We start from the raw sequence: 18839 nt of genomic DNA on the forward strand, positions 1-18839 counted from the left end.
CCAGTTCAAAACCAGCCTGGGCAATGTAGAGAGATCCTGTCCTTAACCCCCAAAAAAATTTATTTATTTTTTAATTAAAAAGAATTTTTTTTAAATTAGCCAGGCATGGTCCTAGCTACTCAGGAGGCTGGAGCAGATGGATCGCTTGAACCCAAGACTTCCAGGCTGCAGCAAGCTAAGATCGCACCACGATATTCCAGCCTGGGAGACAAAGCAACATCCTCATCTCTAAAAATAAATAAATAAAAATAAAACTGGGCAAAGGGTTTGAAAAGAATTTCTCTGAAGATGAAGATATAGAAATGTCCAAGAAGTACATGAAAAGATGCCCAGTATCATTAGTCATCAGGGAAATACAAGTCAAAACCACAATAAGGTATCACTTCACACCCACTAGGATAATTAAAATAATTTTTGTTTCAAATAAGAAAATAAGCATTGGCAAGGATTACAAAAACCGGAACCCTAGTACACTGTTGGTGGGAATATAAAACAGTGCCCCCACTGTGGAAAAAAAAGAAATGAGGTACTGATACACACTACGAAATGAATGTACCTTGAAAATATATAATTGAAAGAAGTCAGACAAAAGGCCACATATATTGTATAATTCCATTTATAAGACATGCCCAGAATGGGCAAATCCATATAGAAAGTAGATCAGTGGTTGTCAAGGGCTAGGGGTTTGGGGGAAAATGGAGAGTAACTGCTAATGAAAATGGGTTTTTTCTGGGAGTAATGAAAATGTTCTAGGCCCCTGCTACTGGGCCGTGGAGACTGGCACAGTATAGTGTGGGGTGAGGCTGACGAGGGCAGTGGCCATGGAGGGTAAAAATGTTCTAAAATTAACTGTGGGCCAGGCGCAGTGGCTCACGCCTGTAATCCCAGCACTTTGGGAGGCCCAAGCAGGCGGATCACCTGAGGTCAGGAGGTCGAGACCAGCCTGGCCAACATAGTGAAACCCAATCTCTACTAAAAATACAAAAATTTGCCAGGCGTGGTGGCATATGCCTGTAATCCCAGCTACTCAGGAGACTGAGGCATGAGAATCACTTGAACCCGGGAGGCAGAGGTTGCAGTGAGCCAAGATCGCGCCACTGCTCTACAGCCTGGGGCAAGAGAGTAAGATTCTGTCTCAAAAAAAAAAAAAAAAAAGAGAGAGAGAGAAATAAGACAAATCCACAACTATGGTCAAAGACTTCAACAGCCTCCTCAAAATATTTGTAGAATAGACAGAAAACCAATAAATATAAAGTAGATTTGAACAACACTATCATCAAACTTCATCAGATTGACATTTACAGAAATCACTATCCAAAACGTGCGTTCTTCTCAAGTACACACAGAATATTCTGGGCCATAAAACAAGTCTCACTAAGTTTAAAAATGATTCAAATCATATAAAGTACATACTATTAATGGAGATTGCAGTAAGCCGAGATCACGTCACTGTGCCACTGCACTCCAACCTGGATGACAGAGCAAGACTCCATCTCAAAAAAAAAAAAAAAGAAAAGAAAAAAAAAAACAGAAACAAAAAAGGCCAGGCGCAGTGGCTCACACCTGTAATTCCAGCACTTTAGGAGGCCAAGCTGGGTGGATCACCTGAGGTCAGGAGTTTGAGACCAGCCTGGCCAACATGGTAAAACCCCCTCTCTACTAAAAATACAAAAATTGCGCAGGTGTGGTGGCAGGCACCTGTAATCCCAGCTACTCCGCAGGCTGAGGCAGGCAGAATCACCTGAACCTGGGAAGCAGAGGTTGCAGTGAGCTGATATCATGCCATTGCACTCCAGCTTGGGCAACAGAGCGAGACTCCATCTCAAAAAAATACATATAAAAAAATAAAAATAATAACAAAACAAAAACAAAAAACAAACGTCTTCCTAAGATTATTCCAGCTGCTTTTTTCTATTCTAAAGCAGAAAAAAAGACTTTTTTTCATATACAAAAATACCAAGACACTATAAGAATATGAAATACATATTAAAACTCAGTTGGTAGGCCGGGTGCGGTGACTCACGCCTGTAATCCCAGCACTTTGGGAGGCCGAGGCGGACGGATCACGAGGTCAGGAGATCGAGACCATCCTGGCTACCACAGTGAAACCCCGTCTCTACTAAAAATACAAAAAAAACTAGCCAGGCGTGGTGGCAGGCGCCTGTAGTCCCAGCTACTCGCGAGGCTGAGGCAGGAGAATGGTGTAAACCCAGGAGGCGGAGCTTGCAGTGAGCAGAGATGGCGCCACCGCACTCCAGCCTGGGCGACAGAGCGAGACTCTGTCTCAAAAAAAATAAAATAAAATAAAATAAAAATCATTTGGTAGCCCGGTTTTATGGGAGATTTTTAGGAAACCCTATAAAACAAATAATTCCTATACTATTTAAATTGTGGTAGGACATAGAAAAAAATAATAAGCTTTCCTTCTCTTTTATATCATAACCCTAATACTAACATCTGATGAAGGCCATAGCGCCCCCCAAAAAAAACTTTATAAAGCCAATGGCACTAGGAGTACAGATGCAAAACTCCTAAATAATATATTGAGAAAAAAATCAATATTATATTAACATAACACATCATGACCAAGTATGATTTATTTCAGAAATGCAAAGATGTTCCAACATTAGAAAATACTAATCCCATATATAATATTAGTTGATTAAAGGAGAAAAACTACTCCATCATCTTGCTAAATAAAGGACATCTGATTAAACATAATTCCTAAAACCACTACTAGTAAATAAGCAATTAAAGGATAGTTCCTTAACATAAAAACGGAAATATGAAACAAATAGCAAAACATCAGAAGTAAAAGATGTGCTCTATTGCTAGTATCAATCAACATTATTCTGGAAGCTACAGCCAACGCAATGAAAACAAGCAAAAAAAGGTGTAAGTGCTAGAGAGTAAGAGAAAAAATGATAGTTATTAGCAGAGATAAATGCCTACCTAAAATACCCAAGACAATCAACTGAACAATTATAAAAATATGTGACAGATTAACGGAAGAAAAACAGAGACACACCCATTTATAAACAAGATTTTAGTTTATGATAAAGGTAAAATTTCAAATACCTGGGGAATGGAGAGATTATTGGAAAGTGTTGGTAGATATGTCTAATCACCAATACTTAGTTTTTCAAAATATACGTATGCTGTTCAGGGATACATGTAAATGTGGTAAAACTGTAAGGAGAAACATGGGAAGATAGAATACATAGTCGTTACCTTTAGAAAGGTGGAAAAGAGCTGGGTGCGGTGGCTCACGCCTGTAATCCCAACACTTTGGGGTGTATCACCTGAGGTCAGGAGTTTGAGACCAGCCTGGCCAACATGGTGAAACCTCATCTCTACTAAAAATACAAAAATTAGCCAGGCGTGGTGGCGCCTGTAATCCCAGCTACTCAAGAGGCTGAGGCAGGAGAATCGCTTGAACCTGGGAGGCGGACGTCGCAGTGAGCCGAGATTGCACCACTACACTCCAGCCTAGGCAACAAAGCGAGACTTCATCTCAAAAAAAAAAAAAGAAAGGTGGAAAAGAATGCAATTGGGAAGGGACACACTAAGAGAAGAGGGATTCTCAGGTGGTAACTGCAAGTGTTCACATTAATTTTTAAAACCATGCATTTATATTTTATGCACATTCCTGTATGCATAACATATATGACGTATGACATATGTGCTGCTATAGAAAGGTCTCCCGGAAATACTATAATGGTTAATTTTAGTATCAGTTTGACTGGAGTAAGAAATACCCAGAGAACTAGTAAAGTATTATTTTCTGGTGTGTCTGTCCGGGTGTTTGCAGAGGAGATTAGAGTGTCAGTCTGAGTGACTAAGTGGGGAAGATTTGCACTCAATGTGGGTGAACACCATCCAACTGGCTGGGGGGCTAAATAGAATAAAAACATAGGAAAGGCAAATTTGTCTCTCTCCTGGAGCTGGGACACATTCTTCTTCTACCCTTGGACATCAGAATTCCAGGCTCTCCAAGCCTTGGATTTCAGGCCTTAACACTCAGCACCCCTTACCCCTTGTCCTCAGGCCTTCAGACTTCCACTGAGCCATACTACTGGCATCCCAGGGTATCCAGCTTGCAAATAGACTATTGTGGGGACTTTTCAACCTCCATAATTGAATGAGCCAATTCCCCTAATAAATTCCATCCGTCTGTCCATCTGTCCTTCCATCCATCCACCCTTCTGTCCGTCCTTCTGTCCGTCCATCCGTCCATCCGTCCATCCGTCCATCCATCCATCCATCCATCCGCCTATCCTATTGGTTCCATGTCTCTGGAGGACCTAACACAGACATTAAGTGAAAAAAAGCAAAACAGTTTCCACAGCATGGTTCTTTTCCTGTAAAAATCTCTACTGATAATGTATGCACAAAATTTTTTTTCCGAGGACACAGAAGAAATTACTGCCTTCAGATCACACAGATGACATCAAGAAATTATTTTAAAAATGAAAAAGAAATTATTGCTTATGGTTAAATGTCTGTAGTGTACATTTTCATTTCATATCTTTCTAAACTGTTATGTTATGGCTTGGATTTTTTTTTAAACATATATGTATACAATTTTTTTTAACATATCTGTATCTGTGTATTTAATATTTTTATTTTTGTTAATATTAAGATGATATCCAAGTAATACAATTGTTTTGTTTTCTTTCTGTTTTAGATGGAGTGCAGTGGTACAATCATAGCTCACTGCAGCCTCAAACTCCTTGAACTCCTAGGCTCAAGCAATTCTCCCACCTGCCTCAGCTTCCCAAGTATCTGGGACTACAGGCACACGCCACCATGCCCAGCTAAGTTTTGTATTTTTTGTAGAGACAGGGTCTTACTATGTTGGTCAGGCTGGTCTCAAACGCCTGGCCTCAAGCAATCCTCCTGTCTAAGCTTCCCGAAGCACTGGGATTATAGGGATGAGTCACCAGGGATGTACCTACCCCTTGTTTTCTTCTCTATACGCTTATGCCTTTAAAATGAACTATGTAGATAAAAGTCCTAATTAAAAACTGAACTATAAGGAACTTTTTGTTTTGTTGGTTTTTTTTTTTTTTTTTTGAGACGGAGTCTCCCTCTGTCACCCAGGCTAGACTGCAGTGGCGCAATCTCGGCTCACTGCAAGCTTCGCCTCCAGGGTTCAAGTAATTCTCCTGACTCAGCCTCCAAAGTAGCTGGGACTACAGGCACGTGCCACCACACCTGGCTAATTTTTTGTATTTTTAGTAGAGATGGGATTTCACTGTGGTAACCAGGATGGTCTCGATCTCCTGACCTTGTGATCCACTCGCCTCGGCCTCCCAAAGTGCTAGGATTACAGGTGTGAGCTGCCGTGCCCGGCCAAGAAACGTTTCTGAAAAATCAATAAAGATGTAAAGAAATGCTCAATCTTGCTAACCAAAAATATGTCATTTTTTGGCCAGATGCAGTGGTTCACATCTGTAACCCCAGCACCTCAGGAGGCCTAGGCAGGATTGCTTGAGGATGGGAGTTTGATACCATCCTGGGCAACATGGCGAAACCCCATCTCTACAAAAAAAAATACAAAAATTAGCCAGGCATAATGGCTTGAGCCTGTAGTCCCAACTACATGGGAGGCTGAGGTGGGACCAGGAGAAGGAAGGTGGAGTGAGCTGAGCTAACACCACTGCACTCCAGCCTAGGTGACAGAGGGAGACCCTGGCTCTAGAAAAAAAAAATATATAGGAGAAAGAGAAGAAAATCTGAAGGAAAAAACAATGACTTAATTCACTGCCTTTGAGATGAGACCTGCAGGCAGGCAGAAAACTCCAATAAACAAATAGAAATACAGGATAAAGGAAAAAGGTTACAATCTTTATTCCGGAGAATAAAGCTTTCTAAAATGATAAAAATGTTGTATAGCTCTGCTGTCTAATACAACTGACACTAGCCTTATGTGTCTTTAATCACTTGAAATGTGACTAGTGCAACAGAGAAGCTGATTTTTAATTTTAGTTATTTTTAAACAGCTACAGATGGCTAGGTGCTATTATATGTAGAACATATCAAGAGACTTAAGAACATTCACGTGTTTTTCCTCTCACTTTCTAGACACATGAAAACTAAGATTTACAATTGATTTAGATGATTCAAATAGTTCCAAAATGCCACTTTGGATTACTATATTATAAAACTGAAGAACTATGATCCATCCTCAACCAAGCAACAGGATTACTACCTTAAGTAATTCTTCATTCCATTTACAAATTAAAACAAAGCTGAGTAAAAATTTCATGGTTTTGGTGAGCTGGCATTAAGGTGAAGTCAGTCACGAAACAAACTCCCCATGGGTAAAGAAGCATAGTTTGAGAGCTACAGCTCTACTTTTCAGCTCTACTTCACTAACCTCTCCATCACTATCGGATATCACAATGAATGCATCCTCAAGTCTACGCTTCCTCTTCACACTGACAGAACTGGTAGTTTCCACATCCTTCTTCTCCAGGTTCCGAGATTCGGAGACTTCTTTAACTTTTTTCTTTCTCCGTGGCATCCTTTTGTCTAGAATAAAAGGACAATAATTTTGTCTAGAATAAAAAGATCATAATTTACTTAAAGTATAAGTTTTCTAGAAGCTATTCAACTTAGTCTTTTTTTGAGATGGTCTCGCTTTGTTGCCCAGGCTGGAGTGCAATGGCACGATCTTGGCTCACTGCAACCGCTGCCTCCCAGGTTCAAGCAATCCTCCTGCCTCAGCCTCCCGAGTAGCTGGGACCACAGGCACACGCCACCACACTGGCTAATTTTTGCATTTTTAGTACAGACAGAGTTTCACCATGTTGGCCAGGCTGGTCTCAAACTCCTCACTTCAGGTGATCCACCCGTGTCAGCCTCCCATAGTGCTGAGATTACAGACATGAGCCACCACATCCAGCCTAATTTTTGTATTTTTGTAGAGACTGGGTTTCACCATGTTGGCCAGGCTGGTATTGAACTCCTGACCTCAGGTCATCTGCCCGCCTTGGCCTCCCAAAGTGTTGGGGTTACAGGAGTGAGCCACCATGCCCAGCCTCAATTTAATCTTGTAAAAGAAAAAGATAACCCTATCTAACAGAAGCAAAACTGCATTTCTTAACTTGTCTACTACTCATTAAAAATATAGCCCTCTCCCTCTCCCCCTCCCCCTCCTCCTCTCCCTCCTTTCTTCAGTCTCCCTCTGTTGCTGATACTGCCACGATCTTGGCTCGCTGCAACCTCCCTGCCTCAGGCTCCCGTGATTCTCCTGCCTCGGCCTGCCAAGTGCCTGGGATTCCAGGCACGCACCGCCACTCCTGACTGGTTTTTGTATTTTTGGTGGAGACCGGGTTTCGCCATGTTGACCGGGCTGGTCTCCAGCTCCTGGCCTCGGGTGATCTGCCCGCCTCGGCCTCCCGAGGTGCTGGGATTGCAGACGGAGTCTCGCTCACTCAATGCTCAATGTTGCCCAGGCTGGAGTGCAGTGGCATGATCTCGGCTCGCTACAACCTCCACCTCCCAGCCGCCTGCCTTGGCCTCCCAAAGTGCTAAGATTACAGCCTCTGCCCGCCCGCCACCCCATCTAAGAAGTGAGCAGTGTCTCTGCCTGGCTGCCCATCGTCTAGGATGTGAGGAGCCCCTCTGCCCGGCCACCCCGTCTGGGAAGTCAGGAGCGCCTCTACCCGGCCGCCACCCCGTCTAGGAAGTGAGGAGCCCCTGCCTGGCCGCCCATCGTCTTGGATGTGAGGAGCGCCTCTGCCCGGCTGCCCCGTCTGGGAGGAAGTGAGGAGTGCCTCTGCCCGGCCGCCACCCCATCTGGGATGTGAGGAGCACCTCTGCCCGGCCACCCCATCTGGGAAGTGAGGAGTGCCTCTGCCCAGCCGCCCCGTCTGGGAGGAAGTGAGGAGCGCCTCTGCCCGGCCGCCCCGTCTGGGAAGTGAGGAGCGCCTCTGCCCGGCCGCCCCGTCTGGGAAGTGAGGAGTGCCTCTGCCCGGCCGCCCCGTCTGGGAAGTGAGGAGTGCCTCTGCCCGGCCGCCCTGTCTGGAAAGTGAGGAGTGCCTCTGCCCGGCCGCCCTGTCTGGGAAGTGAGGAGCGCCTCTGCCCGGCCGCCCCGAATGGGAAGTGAGGAGCGCCTCTGCCCGGCCGCCCCATCTGGAAAGTGAGGAGTGCCTCTGCCCGGCCGGCCCATCTGGGATGTGAGGAGCGCCTCTGCCGGCCGCCACCCCGTCTGGGAAATGGGGAGTGCCTCTGCCCGGCCGCCCCGTCTGGGAAGTGAGGAGTGCCTCTGCCCGGCCTCCCCGTCTGGGAAGTGAGGAGTGCCTCTGCCCGGCCGCCACCCCGTCTGGGAAGTGGGGAGCGCCTCTGCCCGGCTGCCTATCGTCTGGGATGTGAGGAGCGCCTCTGCCTGGCCGCCCCATCTAGGAGTGAGGAGTGCCTCTGCCTGGCCGCCCCATCTAGGAGTGAGGAGTGCCTCTGCCCGGCCGCCCCATCTGGGAGGTGTACCCAACAGCTCCGAAGAGACAGCGACCAACGAGAACAGGCCATGATGACGATGGCGGTTTTGTCAAAAAGAAAAGGGGGAAATGTGGGGAAAAGAAAGAGAGATCAGGTTGTTACTGTGCCTGTGTAGAAAGAAGTAGACATAGGAGACTCCATTTTGTTCTGTACTAAGAAAAATTCTTCTGCCTTGGGATGCTGTTAATCTATAACCTTACCCCCAACCCCGTGCTCTCTGAAACATGTGCTGTGTCAACTCAGGGTTAAATGGATTAAGGGCAGTGCAAGATGTGCTTTGTTAAAAAGATGCTTGAAGGCAGCATGCTTGTTAAGAGTCATCACCACTCCCTAATCTCAAGTACCCAGGGACACAAACACTGCGGAAGGCCACAGGGACCTCTGCCTAGGAAAACCAGAGACCTTTGTTCATGTGTTTATCTGCTGACCTTCTCTCCACTATTATCCTATGACCCTGCCACATCCCCCTCTCCAAGAAACACCCAAGAATGATCAATAAATACAAAAAATAAAAATATAGAGGAATTTTTTTTAGAAAAATATAGGGAAAAAATGGTTTTTTTTTCTATAGAGAGAAACATAGACTGGGCACAGTGGCTCATGCCTGTAATCCCAGCACTTTGGGAAGCTGAGGCAGGTGGATCATTTGACGTGAGGAGTTGGAGACTATCCTGGCCAACATGGTGAAACCCTGTCTCTACTAAAAATACAAACATTAGCCGGGCGTGGTAGCGCATGCCTGTAATCCCTGCTACTCAGGAGACTGAGGCAGGACAATCACTTGAACCCGGGAGGCGGAGGTTGCAGTGAGCTGAGATCGCACCACTGCATTCCAGCCTGGGCAACAAGAGGGGAATTCTGTCTCAAAAAAAAAAAAAAAACAACTATATAAATATACAAATCTCATTCTCCATGGTGAAATTTCAGTATCAATAATATAGTCATGTATCCTAGTTCTTTAAACATCAATTTAGATAATTGCTTTTCTTGACTACATATTATAATTTACCTACAAGTTTTTTTTCTTTTTTGAGACAAGGTCTCGCTCTGTCACCCAGGCTAGGGTGCAGTGGCATGATCGTAGCTCACCACAGCCTCATCCTCCTTGGCTCAAACAACCCTCCCACCTCAGCTTCCTGTGCAGCTGGGACCACAGGGGTGTGCCAGCACACCTGGCTAATTTAATTTACTTTTTATTCCTTATAAGATAGGATCTCACTATGTTAACTAGGTTAAGATTTTTTAAATACCAAATGCCTCAACCTGATAAAGGACTTCTACAAAAATCCCATAACTAATAAGCTAACATCATGTTTAAAGGTACAAGACTGAATGCTTTCTCCTTTCGACAAGGAGCAAGACAAGAATGTTTCCTTTCAGCTGGGCGCAGTGGCTCACCCCTGTAATCCCAACACTTTGGGAGGCCAAGGCAGGAGGATCACTTGAGGTCAGGAATTTGAGACCATCCTATGCAACGTATTTTTTTTTTTGTAGAGACAAGACATGGCATCCTGTGTCTACAGGATAGAAGGCCGTCGTGGGCTGATCACCTGAGGTCAGGAGTTCGAGACCAGCCTGGCCAACATGGTAAAACCCCATCTCCACTAAAAACACAAAAATTAGCTCGGCGTGGTGGCGTGTGACTATAATCCCACCTAATCCAGAAGCTGAGGCAGGAGAATCACTTGAACTCAGGAGGTGGAGATTGCAGTGAGCTGAGATTGTGCCACTGCACTCCGGCCTGGGTGCCAGAGTAAGACTTCATCTCAAAAAAAAAAAAAAAAAAAAAAAAAAAAGTAAGGCACACTGGTGAGCACCTACAGTCCCAGCTACTCAAGAGGCTGAGGCAGGAGGATAGCTTGAGTGTGTTTGAGACTGCCATGAGCTATGATCATGCCGATGAACTTCAGCCTAGGCAACTGGGCAACAGAGCAAGACCCTGTCTCCAAAAAAAAAAAAAAAAAAAGGCTGGGCACACTGGCTCACACCTATAATCCCAGTATTTTGGGAGACCAAAGCAGGAGGATGGCTTGAGCCCACAAGTTAAGAGACCAGCCTCATCAACATAGCAAGACCCTGTCTCTACAAAAAATTAAAAAATTAGCTCAGCATGGTGGCATGCCTGTGGTCCCAGCTACTGCAGCCTGGGCAACAGGGCATGGTTCTATCTCAAAAAAAACAATGTCTGCTTTAATCATTGAACATTATACTTAGGGTTCTAGGCAGAACAATTAAGCAAAGAGAAATAAAAGATACTCAACTTAGAAGTAAAACTATCACGATTTGCAGATGACATGACCTGTGTTTAAAAAAAAACACTAAGAAACACATTAAAAAACTATTATAGGCCAGGTACAGTGACTCACACTTGTAATCCCAGCACTTCAGGAGGCTGAGGCGGGCAGATTACTTGAGGTCAGGAGTTTGAGACTAGCCTGGCCAATATGGTGAAACCCTGTCTCCACTAAAAATACAAAAATTAGCCAGGCGTGGTGGCGGGCGCCTGTAATCCCAGCTACTTGGGAGGCTGAGGCAGGAGAATCACTTGAACCCGGGAGGCAGAGGTTGCAGTGACCCAAGATCGTGCCATTGGCACTCCAGCCTGGGCGACAAGAGCGAAACTCCATCTCAAAACAACAACAAAATCAACAGTTCATCAAGGTTATCTTGCCTTGTATCAATGCAGGAAACAAGTCAACATACAAAAACCAATTGCATTCCTATATGCTAGACATAAACAATCAAAACTGAAATTTTAAAAATTATATTTCTGGCTGGGCACAGTGGCTCATGTTTATAATCCCAGCACTTTAGGAGGCTGAGGCTGGTGTATCACTCGAGGTGAGGAGTTTGAGACCAGCCTGGCCAACATGGTGAAACCCCATCTCTACCAAAAAATAAAAATAAAAAAACTAGCCAGGCATGGTGGTGCACACAGGTAGTCCCAGCTACTCAGGAGGCTGAGGTAAAAGGACTGCTTGAACCCAGGGCAGAGGTTGCAGTGAGCCAAGACCACACCACTGCCCTCCAGCCTGGGTGACAGAGTGGGACCCTGTCTCAAAAAAATAAAATAAAAATAAACATTAGCCAGGCATGGCAGCTAATGCCTGTAGTCCCAGCTACTTGGCAGGCTAAGGAGGAGGGATCACCTAAGCCCAGGAGGTTGAGGCTGCAGTAAACTGTGATCACACCACTGCACTCCAGCCTGGGCAACAGAGCAAGACCCTGTCTCACAAAAAAAAAAGACATCAAACGTAAAAGTAGCCCAGCAGAGTGGGCTGTAATCCCAAAACTCTGAGAGGCCAAGACTGGTGGATCACTTAAGCCCAGGAGTTTGAGACCAGCCCAGGAAACACGGCAAAACCCTATACAAAAAATACGAAATGTAGCCAGATGTGGTGGCGCACTTGTAGTCCCAGTTAGTTGGGAGGCTCAAGTGGGAGGATGGAGGATCAATTGAGCCCAGGAGGTCAAGGCTGCAGTGAACCAATATCCGTGCCACAGCACTCCAGCCTGGGTGACAGACTACGCCCCTGTCCAAAAAAAAAAAAAAAAAAAAACTCAAATCATTAATCATGAGGGAAACGCAAATCAAAACCACAATGAAATATCACTTTATACCCACTCTGATGGCTGGCTATTTTTTAAATAATGGAAAATAACTAGTGTTGGTAAGGATGCTGGAGAAACTGGAACTCTAGTACACTGTATTATTGATAGGATGTAAAATGGTGTAGCCACTATGGGGAAACAAAAGGAATGAAGTATTAATACATGCTACAACATGGATGAACCTTGAAAACATGCCAAGCGAAAGAAGCCAGACATAAAAGGCACATATTGTATGATTCTATTTATAAGAAACATCCAGAATAGGCAAATCCATAGGCAGAAAGCAGATTAGTGATTACCAGAAGATGAGATAGGGGAAAATGTACAATGACTGCTTAATGGATATAAGGTTTATTTTGGGGATGATAGAAATGTTCTGGAATTAGAAAGTGGTAATTGCACAACACTGTGAATTTATTAAAAGCCACCAAATTGTACACTTAAAATGACTGAAATGGTAGATTTTGTTAGGTGAATTTTTTTTTTTTTTTTTTTTTTGGAGACAGAGTCTTACTCTGTTGCCAGGCTGGAGTGCAGTGGTGCGATCTCTGCTCACTGCAGCCTCCACCTCCCGGGTTCAAGCAATTCTCCTGCCTCAGCCTCCCAAGCAGCTGGGGCTACAGGCATGTGCCACCACGCCAGGCTAATTTTTGTATTTTTAGTAGAGATGGGGTTTCACCATGTTGGCCAAGATGGTCTCGATCTCTCGACCTCATGATCCACCCACCTTGGCCTCCCAAAGTGCTGGGATTACAGGGTAAGCCACCGTGCCCAGCCTGTTAGGTGAATTTTACCTCAATTTTTTAAAAAGGGGAGCCCCGGATGATTTTATTTTACAGCCAGAGCAGAGAATCACTGACTCAATCACAGATTTAAATAAAGCCACCTTAACTTTGTAACAAACTTCTCAAACCATTCAATTACTCCTAAGGGGGTTGTTACATCTTATTATCAGAAGTAGTCTGTACAATACTAGCATTAAAGTTTTTCTAAAAAAAACACTTAAAGGATTAAAAAATTCTAAATTAAGGGATAGTAACAACATACACACACAGATGCTTACAATTTACAAAATCATTCCCCATGATAAAACTCGACACACAAACGTCCTTTTCTGCATTTAATGCATATTTTTAATGACTAAAGAACAAGAAATTACAAAGATGAAAAAATTAGCCAGGCGCAGTGGCTCAAGTCTGTAATCCCAGCACTTTGGGAGACCAAGGTGAGAGGATCATCTGAGGACAAGAGTTTGAGACCAGCCTGGACAACATGGTGAAACCCCATCTCTATTAAAAATACAAAAATTAGCTGGGTGTGGTGGCACATGCCTGCAGACCCAGCTACTGGAGAGGCTGGGGCAGGATTGCTTGAACCCAGGAGATGGAGGTTGCAGTGAACCAAGATCACACCACTGCACTCCAGCCTAGTCAACCGACCAAGACCCTGCCTCAAAAAAAAAAAGAAATATACTTTTAACTTCTGTATTTAAATACAGTTAACAGAATATTTATTGCATATGCAATGCAGAGGTAGCTAGTTATTATTTAAGTATACATAAATTCATACTAAAGCAGTAACATCTCACTAGATAACTAGATATGACCTATCCACTATGGTCTAAATGTTTGTGTCCCTCCAAAATTCATATGCTGACATCTAATCCCCAATGTGTTGGTAAGAAATGGGGCCTGGGGCCAGGCGCAGTGGCTCACGTCTGTAATCCCAGCACTTTGGGAGGCCGAGGCAGGCAGATCATGAGGTCAGGAGATCGAGACCATCCTGGCTAACATGGTGAAACCCCGTCTCTACTAAAAATACAAAAAAATTAGCCAGGCGTGGTGGCGGGAGCCTGTAGCCCCAGCTACTCGGGAGGCTGAGGCAGGAGAATGGCGTGAACCCGGGAGGTGGAGCTTGCAGTGAGCCGAGATCGAGCCACTGCACTCCAGCCTGGGCAACAGAGCGAGACTCTGTTACAAAAAAAAAAAACAAAAACAAAGAAAGAAATGGGGACTTAGGGAAGTCATGAAGACACAGCACTCATGAATGGGACTAGTGCCCTTATAAGAGAGGCCTAAGAGAACCTGTTTGCCCCTTTTACCCTTCTGCCATGTGAAGACACAGCAAGAAGGTCCCATCTTTTAAGCACAGTGCAAGCCCTCATCAGGCACCTTGATCTTACATTTACCAGACTTCAGAACTGTGAACAAAAAAAATTGTATTGTTTATAAATTACCCAGTCTAAGATATTCTGTTATAGCAGCAGGAAAAGGTTAAAAACCTATCAAGTTACCATTACACAAATTAAAACACAAATAAGATGACATATTTGTACTTCCTAAAATAAATTAATTTTATATTAATTCGCAAGAAGTGAATTTTCTAAACCCCAAACTGTAACAGAAATGGAAAAAACACATGCAACTTTGTACAAATGTTGCCATATTTCTAATATAAATAGATTTTATATTTATGTTTTTGTTTCTTGAGATAGGGGCTTGTTCTGTTGCCTTGGCTTGAATGCAATGTGTATGATCATAGCTCACTGCAACCTGTAACTCTTAGGTTCAAAGAATCCTCCTGCCCCAGCTTCCCAGGTAGGTAGGACTACAAGAGTACACCACAACACTCAGCTAATTTTTTTTTTTAAAGAGATGGGGGTCTTGCTGTGTTGCCCAGGCTGGTCTTGAACTCCTGGCCTCAAACGATCCTCCTGCCTTGGCCTCCTAAAATGCTAGGATTAGAAGCACAAGCCATCATGACTAATCAAGTCCTCAGTTTTATTTTTTATTTTATTTTTTATTTTTATTTTTATTTTTTTTGAGACAGAGTCTCGCTCTTTCGCCCAGGCCAGACTGCAGTGGCACTATCTCGGCTCACTGCAAGCTCTGCCTCCCAGGTTCACACCATTCTCCTGCTTCAGCCTCCTGAGTAGCTGGGATTACAGGCGCCCGCCACCACGCCCGGCTAATTTTTTTTGCATTTTTAGTAGAGATGGGGTTTCATCGTGTTAGCCAAGATGGTCTCGATCTCCTGACCTCGTGATCCACCTGCCTCAGCCTCCCAAAGTGCTGGGATTACAGACATGAGCCACCAAGCCCGGCCTCAGTTTTAATTCACCTTACTCTACCTTTTTAGATTCAGGTCTGCTACTACCATAATGAAGACTACCCAAAGAGCAAATCTCTTTGGGGAGAAACAGCAAAGACAACTGAGGGGAAAGAATATGAAATCTGGCAAATTGAGAAGACAGATCTGACCAGCCTGGGCAACACAGAAAGACTGCCTCTCGATCACCTGAGGTCGGGAGCTCAAGACCAGCCTGACCAACATGGAGAAATCCCATCTCTACTAAAAATACAAAATTAGCCAGGCATGGTGGCACTATTGCATTCAAGCCTGGGCAACAAGAGTGAAACTCCGTCTCAAAAAAAAAAAAAAAAAAAAGGCCAGGCGCGGTGGCTCACACCTGTAATCTCAGCACTTTGAGAGGCCGAGGCGGGCAGATCACGAGGTCAGGAGATCGAAACCATCCTGGCTAACACGGTGAAACCCCAAGTCTACTAAAAATACAAAAAATTCGCCGGGCGTGGTGGCAGGCAACTGTAGTCCCATCTACTCGGGAGGCTGAGGCAGGAGAATGGCGTGAACCTGGGAGGCAGAGCTTGCAGTGAGCCGAGATTGTGTCACTGCACTCCAGCCTGTGAGACAGAGCGAGACTCCGTTTCAAAAAAAGAAAGACCCCACCTCTACAAAAAAATTTTAAAAATTAGCCAGGTGTGGTGGTGCACACCTATAGTCCCAGCTACTTGAGAGGCTAAAGTGGCATGATCACCTGAGCCTAGGGAGGTGGAGGCTGCATTGAGCCATGATGGCGCCACTGCACTCTAGCCTGGGCAACAGAGTGAGACCTCATCTCAAAAGAAGAGATAGATTAATACTTAGAGAACTGCCAGCCAAGAGTTCTTAACCTGTCAATCCAAAAGCCCTTAAAGAATCTATAGATTGGCTTCAGGGGATTAACTAAAATTGTGTGTAAAATTGGTTTTTTCTGTATCTTCCTTGGAAAAATTTTTATATTTTTTATTGAATTCTCAAAGGAGCGAAAGACCCAAAAGAGTGTAGAACTATCAAGATTTGGCCAGGAATAGTGGCACATGCCTGTAATCCCAGCACTTTGGGGAGCCAAGGCAGAAGGATCACTAGAACTCAAGCGTTCAAGACGAGCCTCAGCAACATAGTGAGACCCTGTCTCAGTTTAAAAAAAAAAAAAGGTGACTAAGTAAATAAAGCTTTCTTAGGACATAAAGAAATTTTTTAAATTGATAAATTTGACTTTATTGAAATTTAAAACTTCTGCTCTTTAAAAAAAGACCATTAAGAAGCCACAGAATGACAATCTGGGCAAAATAGCAAGGCCTTGTCTCTATAAAAAAAAAAAAATTTTTTTTAATTAGCTGGGTATGGTGGCACACACCTGTAGTTCCAGCTACTCAGAAGGCTGAAGTGGAAGAATCACCTGAACCAGGGAGGTCAAAGCTGCAATGAGATGTGGTCATGCTACTGCACTCCAGCCTAGGCAACAGAGTAAGACCCCGTATCAAAAAAGAAAACAAAAAGCCACCATAGAATGGAAGAAAATATGTGCAATACATTTATCTTGCAAAAGACTTGTATCCAGAATATACAAACAATTATTGGGCCAGAAATGTTGGCTCACGCCTGTAATCCCAGCACTTTGGGAGGCTGAGGCAGGTGGATCACCTGAGATCAGGAGTTGGAGACCAGCATGGCCAACATGGCGAAACCCCATCTCTACTAAAAATACAAAAATCAGCTGGGCATGGTGGTGTGCACCTATAATCCCAGCTACTGGGGAGGCTGAGGCATGAGAATCATTTGAACCCCAGAGACAGGGGTTGAGCCAAGACTGTGCCACTGCACTCCAGCCTGGGCAACAGAGCAAGACTCCATCTCAAAAAAAAAAAAAAAAATTCTTGGCCGGGTGCAGTGGCTCATGCTGTAATCCCAGCACTTTATGAGGCCAACACGGCTCACCACAATCTCAACCTCCTAGACTCAAGCAATTCTTCCATCTCAACCTCCCAAGTAGCTAGGACCACAGGCATGTGCCACCACACCCAGCTAATTTACTTTTTATTTTTTGTAGAGACAAGGTCTCACTACATTGCCCAGACTGGTCTCGAACTCCTGGGCTCAAGTGATCCTCCCACCCAGGTCTCCCAAAGTGCTGGGATTACAGATGTGAGCCTCCATGCCCAGGCACAAATATTTTCTTACCTTTTAAAAATATATCTAATCATCATGGCACGAATATACCTATATAAAAAACCTGTACGTTCTGCACATGTACCCCAGAACTTAAAGACTTAAAGTCTAATAATTATAAAGTATCTCTACTGATAATTTGTAAGGCACAACCACAACATATGTATATTTACTTTTTTAACTATATGAATACTAATGTATGTATTTTGTGTACTGGAAAACATACAAAAATCTGCCAGGCGCGGTGGCTCACGCCTGTAATCCCACCACATTGGGAGGCTGAGGCAGGAGGATCACCTGAGGTCAGGAGTTTGAGACCAGCCTGGTCAACATGGTGAAACCCCGTCTCTACTAAAAATACAAAAATTAGCTGGGAATGGTGGCAGGCACTTGTAGTCCCAGCTACTTGGGAGGCTGAGGCAGGAGAACTGCTTGCACTCAGGAAGCAGAGGTTGCAGTGAGCCAAGATCACACCACTGCAGTCCAGCCTGGGTAACAAGAGTGAAACTCTATCTCAAAAAAAAAAAAAAAGAAGAAAGTATACAAAAATCAAAGTGTGAAAAGGATGAAATAGTAAAAAACACTTGGGTAATGCAGCATAAACATGCTTATTAAACACATAAACACTGGGAGGCTGGCTATGTCACTTTACATCTCTAGGTGGATTCCAAAAATTACACTCCAGCCTGAACAACACACTGAGACCCTATCTCAAAAGAAAAAATAAAAAAAGACAAACCAATATTTAAAAGAAGCAAGCGATATTAACAAACTTCACAAAAGCAGATATACTAAAGGCCAATAAGGAAAAACAAACAGATATTCAATATCATTATTCATCAAGAAATTACAAATTAAATTTACAATGGCCTAACACTGTATATCCATTAGAATGGCTAAAATTGAAAATAGTGACAATACAAATGTGGGCAGGAATGCAGAATATAATGAACCTCTCATATACTGCTAATGGGAATGTAAAATGGCATAACCACTTTGGAAAACTGGCAGTTTCTTTAAAAAAAAAAAAAAAAAAAAAGTATAACTGTCATGTAAGCCAGTCATTCTGTTGCAGGAATCTGGAGACTGGAGAGACCAATGCGTGGAACAGGAGGATTTTCTTTAGGTGGCCACCAGCCCAGCAGATTAACATCCAAAGGCTGAGCCCTCAACAAAGACAGGGCTTGACTTTTATACACACTTCTGAAAGGGAGTTGGCTAGTTTGAATGGTGCGGTGGGAATGTGACAGTGCGAAACTCATGGGGCAGGCAAGCAGGCTTACAGAAGCAGAACAAAGGCAGTTAATTAAATTGCGACAGGTCTCGCAACGCAGGCATAGCTTGTGATCATGCAGCTGCACAGTAGGGAAAACAGGAACTTACAAAACTTGTGAAACACAGGTATTTGTAGAAATAGTTATGAGAAAGGAATT

General features: G+C 43.9%; 1 protein-coding gene and 1 long non-coding RNA gene across 15 annotated transcripts in view, besides 1 other annotated feature; both read right to left on the minus strand.

Moving 5' to 3' along the window:
• Positions 1-18839, minus strand: part of UIMC1 (ubiquitin interaction motif containing 1) — a 117598-nt gene that overhangs the window by 71082 nt on the left and 27677 nt on the right. For all 14 annotated transcript variants that reach the window (NR_146150.1, NR_146149.1, XM_017009577.2 and 11 more), the window contains one exon: positions 6383-6537. Coding sequence is in view for 12 of the 14 variants with exons in the window: in XM_017009577.2 (XP_016865066.1) it covers positions 6383-6529 (147 nt within the window). In the remaining 2 variants the exon portion in view is untranslated. The remainder of the gene's footprint in view (positions 1-6382; positions 6538-18839) is intronic.
• Positions 2580-6376, minus strand: LOC124901145 (uncharacterized). The gene is made up of 2 exons (XR_007059073.1): positions 4035-6376; positions 2580-3189 (listed from the first exon to the last, which is right to left on the minus strand). It is a non-coding gene; the product is annotated as an uncharacterized LOC124901145 (long non-coding RNA).
• Positions 8669-8869: a silencer, noted in NCBI's record as "peak5592 fragment used in MPRA reporter construct". NCBI's record gives its function as "represses an SCP1 promoter by STARR-seq MPRAs in K562 erythroleukemia cells {active_cell/tissue: K562}" and the evidence as "EXISTENCE:reporter gene assay evidence [ECO:0000049][PMID:32103011]".

Source organism: Homo sapiens, chromosome 5 (genome assembly GCF_000001405.40).
Source record: "Homo sapiens chromosome 5, GRCh38.p14 Primary Assembly".
Classification (NCBI taxonomy): Eukaryota; Metazoa; Chordata; class Mammalia; order Primates; family Hominidae; genus Homo; species Homo sapiens.